Source organism: Homo sapiens, chromosome 5, assembly GCF_000001405.40.
Source record: "Homo sapiens chromosome 5, GRCh38.p14 Primary Assembly".
NCBI classification, from domain to species: Eukaryota; Metazoa; Chordata; class Mammalia; order Primates; family Hominidae; genus Homo; species Homo sapiens.
Window position 1 is genome coordinate 26,980,477 of NC_000005.10, and position 12,029 is coordinate 26,992,505.

Sequence of the window (12,029 nt, forward strand, 5' to 3'; positions counted from 1 at the left end):
GATATTTTCACAATATTTCCCTGGCATTTTTTCCATAAACACCACCACTGCAGCTATAAGACTCTTAATATCAGTTATTAGGATTTATAATGCAGAAATTATAAAAGATTTGCTTGAGTACAGTTGCAATATTTGTGAATATCTGGTACAAATGTCTGGTCATCAGAAAAAGGAAACATGGTAGTTTCTAAACAAACAAACATGCATACATTATTAATTTGGAGATGATTCTAGTGCAAAATTAAGCTAAATACAGTTTATGTATTAGGAATTCAGTCTATTGAGTCAGAAGAAAAAATGTCTACTTTTTCTGAACTGAGGCTATTAGCAGGTCTTTCTCACAGCAATGAGCAATAATAGCATTGCATTTATAATAGAGAAATTCTTTAAGATAAGGACCAATTAATCTTATTTACTATGATTTCTAGGACTTAAGATAGTGTTCCACACTGTAGGTGCTCAGTTTTTTCAAAATTAATTGAACCATAATATTACACAGGACTAAATTTCACATTAAAATACAGTCCCAACCAGACAAATATCTAGCATAACTAACGCCCCATGTCGGTACATTGGTTTTTTGTTGGTGGAAGAGAAGAGGTATAAATTTTTGAAATGCCATTGGCTAATATGTACCCAGAACTTTAAAATTATTCGTATATTTCAATTTTGAGAATTCTCCCTCCAGTAATCTAGCCTTAAAAAGGATAATTTATAATACATAATCATCCCTCGGTATCCGTGGGTGATTGGTTCCAGGAATCCCTGCAGATACCAAAATGTGCAAATGCTCAAGTCCCTATATAAAATGGTGCAGAATTTACATTTAACCGATGCACATCATTCTGTTTACTTAAAATCATTTCTAGATTACTTGTAATACCTAATACCCTCTAAATGCAATGTAAACAATTGTTATACTATATTGTTTAGGGAGTAATGACAAGAAAAAGAAGTCTGTACATTTTCACTAAAGGTGCAACAATCCTTTATTTTTCTCTGAATATTTTCAGTCTACTGTTGGCTGAATAAACATATGTGGAATCCACATATATGGAGAGCCAACTGTACTAAAAATATCAGCTAAAATATTTGGGAGGCAGAGGCAGGTGGATCATGTTTTTATACATGCTTGCATGTATAAAACCAGAGAGTCTAAACAAAATGTGTGGAAAAATTTTAAATTTTTATGATTTTATATATGACATAATATGACATGGCTAATACTAACATTTTAACAGTATGCCAAAATGTAGCATTGACAGAGAAAAGCAAGATAAAACAGGCATAAAAACAATAGAAAATCAACAGTGTCAAAAATAAAACCAATAAATAGGTAGAAAAATATTTAGACAACTTACCCTTGTCTTAGTGAAATCATTATAAATATCTTAGGTTTTTTAAAATGATTTTTAAATTTTATGTTCCTGGTTTTTAACAGGGAGCACATACTGCTTTCATAATGACATCATCATCATCATCATCATTTACAGCCTTGTACATAAATAATTCTCCCCATCCCTCTCTCCATACCCTTCTGAAGATAATGTCACTTCTGTCACTTGTTGTTTCCCTCCCTCCGTCTCGTCCTTCCTGATGAGTATATAAAGGTGGATTCGATCATCTGCAAGTTTTTCCCTCCCTCCCACCCTTCCTCCCTTCCTTCCTTATTGATGAGTGTATATATAAAGGTGGATTTGATCATGTGCAAGTTTAGAAGATGAGTTGGAATATTAGAAGTAGTTCAAAAACACTGAAATCAGTGGTGGAAGTGTAAAACAAAATTAAACATACAACTTGGTAGCCATATTAAGAACCATTTTCTACCACACTTAATATTTTTTAAATGGCTTCACAGTTATGAGAACCCTCCAATATAATGGAAATATAGGAAAGGAATCAGAAGAACAGCAAAGAGGAAGTTTGACTTTGATGTACCATTTGTCAGAAAAAGGGAATATATTTCTATAAAATTTTCTCTGCTTTTTCTATTTTTCATAATGTCAATTTCTCAGGATTCAGATTAATAAAGAATAAAGATTTTTAAAATAGTAGCTAAATATTAATTTTGAGTAAACCTATATTGTCAAAAATTTGGGGAAAGAAATCCAACACAGAGTGAAAGCCCAAATGTCACAGAAACTAGGAGACAATGTAGAAGATGTATCCAAATAATTCAACTTGTGCTATGAATAAGTTTTTTTTGTTTTTTTGTTTTTTTGTTTTTTTTGAGATGGAGTCTTGCTCCATCGCCCAGGCTCGATCTCGGCTCACTGGCTCACTGCAACCTCCGCCTCCTGGGTTCAAGTGATTCTCCTGCCTCAGCCTCCCGAGTAGCTAGGATTACAGGCACCTGCCACCACACCTGGATAATATTTGTATTTTTTTTTAGTAGAGATGGGGTTTCACCATCTTGGCAAGGCTGGTCTCAAACTCCTGACCTCGTGATTTACCCGCCTCCGCCTCCCAGAGTGTTAGGATTGCAGGCGTGAGCCACCGCGCCTGGTCTATGAATAAGATTTTAAGAGATGATCTCATAGTTTTGAGGGATAATTCTAGCTAGGGAAAATGAAATGGGTTTTATGTAAGATTGTGCACAGAAGTTGTGGTAAGACATAGAGTGAACAACAACAACAACAACAAACAGATATGAGATTATGGAAAAGTGGGTAAGATACTCCCTGGGAAGGGGTCTGCGGATGTGATGAACAAAAGGTCAGGTGTGTGGAAGAAGAAATATCATGTTGACTAGAACTCAGGTTACAAAGTTATGGGGACATAGAACATAGGCTGGAATTTCCAAGAATACTAACGGACAATTTGAATTCAACTTAAGTGAATTTCAGTTAATTTTCTAGAGGTATTTTTGTGCTAGAGAATGGGATTATTCAAGAGATATTGTATAAACTGCTTCTGATCATTACAAAAATAAGTATAAATAAAGTCAAGGAAAAGATAAGTTTAGTGTGCTAAAGCAGTTTTCCAGCAAAGTGATTACACAGTATTGGCAGTGAAAAATAAAACATGGAGCTATATGCTAACAGTGAGTTTTTATAGAATTCAGTGTTAAACTCGCCTCAGTATGCTGTCCTTAAAGCGTAGTCATAATGTTTAATTTTTGTGTGTGTTCTGAGTTATAAACAACTAATTCATAAAGAGAATTTTGGAATACAATGTATTTACAAATCAAAAGCAGCTGCTCCATGTACTGCACTATAAGTAATGATACTTTCAAACCTTTATAAACATATTTTACTTAGATTCTGGAAAACACTGTGATATACTATAACAACTCATCAAAACTCTTTAAATAAATTTGAGATTTTATTTCTATTTCTATTTCTAATTTATATTCCATCAGTTACTTCTACATATCAAACTGACATACCTGAAAAGCTTAAGAAAAAGTTACCTATTCGAGTCCATTATTTTATATATACTTCAGCTATATATTAATACTTAGTGCACAAACTAGCATATGTAAACGTGAAAGTGTCACTCCACCTTTTGATACACAATCAAATATAAAACAGATTCCTACCAATTTTTCTTTTGTTAACTGTGTTTCCTGTTGTTTTAGGTAACAGATAAACCAATTGTAACCATGAAGGCAGAGCTCAATCAATGTTAAAATCCCTTTCCACTCTAGAATCTATGATTACATTCATGATTTCAGAATGGGATAACAAAAGTTTCTAAATTAAAATTATAAAGACTTGAGAGGTAACTCTGCAATAAAGATACCTTATTTAATAGTGGCTACCTATAGATGGCTCATTAGCTCCACGTTCCTTGCTCTGCACAAAGCAAGTGCTAAATACATATTTTTAAATTAAAATGTAATGGTCAATTAAGTTGATATTCCAAATTACTAAATGAATCTTCACAATTGTGAAAAATAAACACCATTTTATTCCTTGTGAAAAATAAATACTATGTCTGCTGTGTCTGGGTATTGGGTTTCTCTTCATAAAATAAATGTGGTTTAACAACCAGATATTAAAATCAAATAGGTAAATTCTATTCAATTCTCATTACTAATTGGGATATAGTTAATTGATTATTGATCCATGATAAGCAGGGATTATTCTGGACTTTGAACTTATGTATAACAAAATAAAGTGCTATAAAGATTCTCTAACAGAATAGTAGGGACATTTGCTATGCTTCTTGTTATTTTAATTTCTCTCCTGAGCAGTATTGCAATTCTACCTAAATAATTCAGTCACAAGTGTCTCTTCAAGTTATAGAGAAGCTAGATGACAATTATTATGACTTTTTTTCCTTCTTGGGGAACAGTACAACATTTCGCTTATTACATAAAACAATATTTGTAAATCTCTGATAGTTTCAGTCAAGAATGACCAACCAAATTTCAAATTGCATTATTGCGAAAAACAAAAACTTGCTATTTATTCCAACATTTCTGACTTCTCTCCTATATTGCAAATGTCTGAAATGCCATAAAAAATTCTGCAGTATTGCCTTATTAAAATTATCTTAACTCATTTTCTTACTCTTCTAATCCATCCTGACAATGAAAGAAAACTCATTATTTCAGTTCTGTGCTCCCAACATAACTGATTTGTACAAAGGCTTTTAACAGATTATTTACATTTCATGCTGTATGCAAAAACAACCAATCCTAGAATTCTGGACCTTTCACAGTGAAGGTCTAACTTTATCCTATTAGACCAGCCTCTTTTTTTCTTTTATTGTGCTATATACACGCAATTCTACCTTCTTAGATTTGTCCACATGCACATATTTATGAAAATATTTCTAGCTCTTCTTGTCCCTAATGGCAGGCCTTTCCAAAATCTTAGAAAAGACCAGAAATTTGGAGTTAAAGAAATCTTAATGACAATGTAAATCAACCCAACAAGAATCTGAGGGTTGTCAAATTTAAACAGCTTCTAAATTATAATATTTACTACGTGTCACAATTAAGACTAAATCTTATAAGTTGCATGTTTGTGTGTATACATGTATATAATTTATTAAATTTTTCTGCACTATTTTATTTTTCTAAAACTGCTTCCTCTCAATTCAGGATCAAACCCTCGTTTTAACCTTTAAAAATATATCTTCCCAATTTCATGCAATTTTACAGCACCTGTAAATTAATATGTTGTCTATCATTTTCTATGATTCCCAGCTTCTATAAAACTATAAAGAAACCATGTAAATTTCTTCCCATTAGAAGCTACTTAGCCTTTCCCAATCCTGGTCCGTGGTGAATACGACAGGCCTTTTCTTTACAGGGGATGCTATCAATGGATCCTGGAAGACTAGGTTGAGGTCTACCCAGGGAGACCAGAAACACTGTGGTCAAAAAGACAATCTGTGAGGTGCTCAAGAAGTTAAATCCTTATCAGAACTCATATGTTTGACTAAGTTTAGAGTTAAGGGTCCAGTTAGCCACTATATATGCAAATAAATAGTGATGTCAAAAGCCAGAAAAGCAGGATAAAGAGAGAGTAAATGCCCTTAATAAGTTAGTAAAAGCTAAGATGTGGTTGAAAGTCAGCCCACTTTTATAATGAACTAGCTATGTGGTAATGGAATATCTTAGATAAGTCCCTATTAAAAAAAAGAAAGAGTTTTTTCTTTAAAAAGTAGTATAAGTATTTTATTTTGCTGAGGTGTCTATTTCATATACATATTATTTCCTACTGGAAACATAGAAATAGTTGACAGGTGGTTTTGGTTTCATTGTATTTATTTCCCCCAAACATCTGATATTATAATGAGTGTTCCATTTGTGGTTCATAACCCCGTTGTCAAGAATAAATTGGCAAAAAATTCGCACATCCTAACTTGTCCACGCATAAATCCAAAATGCCATTTTTCCAACAAAAATGAAAAAAATATGAAAGGTAATTAAAGCTATGCATGTACATTTAGTAATTGTTTATGACAGATTATGGAATTAATTAAAAAGGAAGCATGATTGCACACAAAATTTTAAACTATAATGTATATTTAAAATGTGAGAACAAGAATGGTGGTCAATTTAGAAATTAATTAATGTACACTCAATTTTTAGAGGAAGTATTTTTGTTTTCAGCTTAAAATAAATGCTTGCTGTAGCGCCTTAACTGCCTTAGGATTATGAGCGACTCTTTTATCTGTGGCTATTCTTCTGTATCTGTGAATCTCCAAGGATAAAACTGATTCTGTAAGGCCCTGTGACCTCAATGTGTCCTTTATACACTTCCTTGGAGAATCGTAAGGCAATTTCACATCCTTAGACAAAAAACATTTGCTAGCTGAACTTGAATTTCCTGATGTTAGTTATTAACTGTAGTGTGAAAAGTGATGTTAAATGAGGGATGCCTGAGGATGCCATATGACTAACCTGAGAAGAAATAACAGGCAAAAAGGAACCAGCAAGGGAACTGAATGGGGCGGAATGAGCATGACCTATGGAACCAGAAAAGAGAAATGTCAAAAGAAGAGAAAATAATAGGCTTCTGATAAAGGAGGCTGCTTTTGATTGGCCCACACACAGAAAGAAGAATTAGATCAAAATTTTGGCAATTTCACAGAGCAAATGTATTCCTGTTTTAAAAGCTACAAGCATGACATTTGTGATATTAGGCACTTGTATTCTTTTTTTTTTTTTTTTTTTTTTCATTTTTGGCCTGATCTAATTTATGTGCCTGGTGCTGTCAGTGAGTCAAACAATATGCAAACCATTACAGTCTCTCCAAGTACATATATGCCATGACTCAAAAAATAAATAAATTTATGATCTGTAGACTGCAAGTATTTAAAATTGTTCGTTTTGTTGTAAAAATTTTAACATTCCTCAGTATTGGGTGTAAATTGGGAACAATTATAGTTAACAAATGAATTGTCCTGAGTTTAGAATAGTATGAATGTGATTGGTAAGGAAAAGGATGATAGATACATAGAAAATTATGGATGTTGGAAAGGTCACGCCACTAAAGAAAGAAAATTGGAGAGATAATGAGCTAAAGAAAAAGAAGTCTCTAAACACCAATGAAAGAGAGGCAATGAATCTGCTTCCTCAAAATTGAACATAAGAAGGGAGTTACATATTCTCTATTATTGTCTGCTTCTGACTGGTAATGAGCAACTTTGTTCCTACTAACACAGAAGCTTATCTTCTTAAAGATAGTGTCTTCTTTCTCATTTTTTTAAATCTTGTCTTTATCCTTCTGCCTTAAACACTTTTGTCTAGATTACAAGCAGGAAGCAGGAAGCTCACCCTAGCAGATATTAAGAAATAGAAATATCTAGAAGTATTTTATTTCTCATACAGAGTACACTATTCCTAATTATGAAAAACTATCAATCGATCTCAAGGAGAGTTTTATTTAGATAATACACATATGATTAAATAATATCTAGCTGATTAATAATGAATCACATCCATCCACATATGACTTAGTAGTTTACGCTTATTATTGACATTGATTTACATTTAGAACCCAAATATGGTTCCTTGTTCTTCCCCACTAAAATAGTTTGCAATATCACACCTTCAGAACATAATTAGTTAAATATTTTTTAATAATCACTAGTGAAAAGAAAAGTTGCTGGAAAAAAATAAATAGCTGTCACTTTCAGCTTTTAGATTTCTCATACAAAAATTCTTACCTTGCCTACATATTGTGTGTCAGTACCTGTGTACTCTTCCAATAAGAAGAACTGATTCCACATCCAGCCACGCTTGGTGCGACGTAGCATTTTACCGTCATCTTTTGTCAGACCCGCTATCTTTTTGCTTGATAAATAACTGTTAGGTTTTTCTTGTAATAGGATGGTGTCAACTGTATGGAACATATAGGTCCAGATGAATAATGGTATATAATGGTAAGTCCTCATTATCTGCAACTTCAGTGGGTTGTCAAATTCAATGTATTGTTTGTTTTTCCTAAAGAGTAAGGAGAAAAAAAATGGCTGTATTAGCTTGAGTTTCACTTTCCCACAACGTGTAAACTGAAATACTTATTCCAGACATTATTTAAATTTTATTATGTACTATATATACATTATATTTCTATATCAGTGAACGGTCATGAAAAACTCATTTATCACATAGATAAGTAGAAAGACATATACAACTCAAGTAGACTAAACAGGAATTTAGCAGCTAATTTAAAATTACTATAAAACAATCAGATACATATTAATATTTTTGTAATTTAAAACACTAAATATTTTGAAAAATAAGTTCTACAGCATACATATTATCACAGCAAATGTTCCATAGTCCTTAAGACTAATAAAAGTAGAATATTTATTAACATATACATACGTGTATGAAATTACATATTTTAAAGAGTACTTCTCATAATCCATCATTTTTAGTAAACTGTTTTTCTCCTCTGCCCCCTATCTTCCTCTTTACAATCCTCCTCATCCATCAGATTGAAATGTTGCCTCAAGGCAAATTATATGGTACCAAATATACTTAGGATTGTGTCTTGCAATACTTAGCACCATGTCGATCTTTTCCAATCAATAACTATTTTTTTCCAACAATTAATCTAGTAGGACACTCAAATTTATTTGAGACTGAGGAGTACACGCTCTAAATAAAAGCATTTTACATGGTAATTAAGAACAAATTTATTTCCTAAAATAATAAGAAAAAAATAGCATTGAAACTTGATATTGCAAAATTAGATAACACATGTTACGTATAGGATAATCTGATCCAGAATTTTGAAACAATGTCTCCCTGTTAATATAATAAGTTGATTATTCTTGGATGAAAATCATTGTTCACTTGGTATTTCAGAATTGATTTTATTTGTTATCAAATTGGTTTTAATTTGTATGATACTTAATTTAGAAGATGTGAGATGATAATGGCTATGATCTATTAAGCAATGGAAATTAATCTCAAACTAGTAGGCAAAAAAGTCATTGGGTTATACAATCAAATTAAGTGTGGAAAAGAAAATAACAAAAGGAGCAAAGAAGCAGTTCGGCATTTCCTTATCATGAAAACTAGAATTAGGGGCTTGAGTATTATATTCTCTCTCTCTTCTCTGTCTCTCTCTCTCTCTCTCTCTCTCTCTTTCTCTCTCTTTCATTTTCTCTTTCACCCTGACTAAACCCCCTCAACCTGAATAAATTGTGTGGGTGATAATATCTCCTGAATTCAGATATAAAATCTTCAATTTCAAAAAGCAACTGATAGTCTTTTCTAATTGGAGTTTTAAAAATCCTGGGAATGGACTCTGATTTACCTTGTTTAAGCCAGAAACCCAATGTTGGACCAAGCATCTATGAATTCAGTAATGGGAATAACAAGGTATAAAGGTCAAATATAAGGATCTAGCTTGGCTTTGTGCCCTACTGTCTGTGATATTTTCAAATACGGACCTATATCACTTGGTCTTCATTAATACCTGACCCACAAGGTATTGTTGTTGATTTTATTTTACACTTTTATCAATACAAAGTAATAGTCGTGTACATTGCAGTGACTTATTTTATTTTGACGATAGCAAATCTGAGGTGTGATGAGTTTAAGTAACATGACAAAAGTCATGCAAGTAATAAGTATTAGAACCAGGTTTCAGACACACAGACTTAAACACCGTTTTTAATATAAGACAATGCATGTAGAAGAGTTATCACAGTGCTAGCACAAAACTCAACATATTAGCATTATCATCATGATCATCACAACCATCATCATTATCATTGTCATCATCAAGCATCGTTGCTCATATTATAGGCATAGAGACATGGGTCCAACTCAGCAGAAAGAAGAATGGTAATTGGCAGGTGGTATTATAGATTCTTGCTATGGTCTAGAGCTACAGGTTCTGTCCAACACATCTATGTACCTTGATTTCCATGCCTATTATTTTAAAAATTGGTCACTCTTAGCTCTTAATGCAAACATATGGTTACAAATATATGCTGCTCTTAATACATATATATGGTTAAGTTCCAGAATTACAGTAATACAAAATTACACCATTTTTCAATGCTGAAATCTCAGGTCATGGTTATTATCATCAGGACTTTATGTGGCTATTTGTAATCCTGTAAACTGTGGAATAATTGGTAAATTTGACCACAGCCAATATAAAACCCGGAATTAGATATCAGAAATTTAAAATGTTAAATAATGCTTAGAAAAATGTGCAATGGAAGAGTAACACTTAGTGGTCACTGGCCCAGAACATGCCCCATGTTTTGTAGCTGAGTGATGCTGTAGTGGAAAATGAACAGCCAGAGAATCTCAAGGACAGCTGTTATCTTACTTTGATAAAATACAACAAACTCCTTAGTTGACCACACTGGTTACCCTGGTTTCTTCCCACTGGTAGAATTTGTTTTGATCATTGACCTTGCTTATAACCCTTGCCAGAGAAATCAAAGGGTATTCTCCATTTCCTGGGGTCAGTTCTAACTATGATGCCCATTTTGTGTGGAACATAGGCCTTTGAGCGGAATAATCTAGTTTTATGAGATGGGGCAATAGACTTAGGCAGGGGCTAGGATCCCATAGGAGTTTATAAACTACAGTAAGAAATTCTCATTCATTTTCAGTGCGATTGAAAGCAGTTGGAAGATTTTAACATTATATGTTTAGAAAAGATCAACTGGTGCAGACTAGAAAATAGGTTAGAGGGCAGGAAAGCGATTTGGTTAAGAGAGAGATCAGTTAGGGTCTTTTACTTCTAGTCCGGTAAGAGATGATGAAGGCATATAGAGAAGTGGTTTGAAGTAGACACTGAAACGCTGCTCAGATTCCCTTTGATCCTTTAATGTGGCCACACACCCACACTCCATACACTACAATTTTTCTATGCTTTTGCTTCTAATGGTCTGCCCCTGCAACTGTCTTTGAACAACTTCCCTTGGCTACTGGAACCACTTTGCCCACATGCACAGGATGCCTAACGTGCTGCAAGTTTACAGACATCTGTAATATCCCATTGCCAGTATGCAACAGGTGCCACAGTATGAAACTCAACATATTATCTACGTTCTAGAGCTTTCCTACAGAATCGTAATGAAGCTGGGATTTTGATACCTTTGTTTGGCTTCTTTTCCATCCCTGTCCTATTACTCCACTTAATCCTGAAATTCCTTACCTGGAACAAAATTTTTAACTGATCAATTGCCCAAAAATCCTTGTCTCAGGTTTTGTTTCTGGGAAATCAGAACTAATATGTGGATCTAATTCACATATGTAGATATTTACAAGAGTAGATAATATCATCTTATATATTGGTTATGGAGGGTGAAGAAAAAATAAAAATAAGGTGTAACTTCTAGATTATTTATGAACTAGGTGGATGACTGAGTGATTTCTTGAGTGTCATTTATATCAGGAGAAAAGTGGATCTATTGGAAAAATAAAGAATCCATTCTTTTCTTATTCTTGGTCAAAATAAAGAAGTAATTTTTATACTTCTATCACCAACACCATTTGGGCATAATTAAAAATAGGGAGCAAAGTGGTTCTAATGATTTTATACTATGACTTGAATACATACGCACACATATACATTACATATAGATATGGATACGTATACAGATGAATATATAAATGCATATGTACAAATGTATATATATATCATCAGGCACTGGATTCTCATAAGCAGCACGCAACCTAGATCCCTTGCACGCCCAGCTCACAATAGGATTTGCATTCCAGTGGGAATTGAATGCTGCTGCTGATCTCACAAGAGGCAGAGCTCAGGTGGTAATGCTCTCCTGCCTGCTGCTCACCTCCTGCTGTGCAGCCTGGTCCCTAACAGACCAGGGACCAGTACTGGTGTGCAGACTGGGGGTTGGGGGGCCCTGCTCAAGGTGATAATATTAGGAATGGGGCTGTTGGGAGTTGATTATGTCATGGAGGTAGAGCTCTTATGAATGAGATGGTGCCCTTGTAAGAGAGGCATGAGAGGGTTCTCTTGCCTTTTGACCATGTGAAGACACAGCAGAACAATGGCCATCTATGAACCAGGAAACTGGTCCTCACCAGACACCAAATCTGCCATGCCTTGCTTGATGTTAGACTT

At 33.7% G+C, this 12,029-nt stretch overlaps 1 protein-coding gene across 1 annotated transcript in view; it reads right to left on the reverse strand.

Moving 5' to 3' along the window:
- CDH9 (cadherin 9) overlaps positions 1 to 12,029 on the reverse strand; it is a 157,990-nt gene that overhangs the window by 99,880 nt on the left and 46,081 nt on the right. Inside the window, exon 2 of the mRNA NM_016279.4 lies at positions 7,630 to 7,906. Coding sequence (NP_057363.3) covers positions 7,630 to 7,857 — 228 coding nt within the window. The 5' untranslated portion in view covers positions 7,858 to 7,906. The remainder of the gene's footprint in view (positions 1 to 7,629; positions 7,907 to 12,029) is intronic.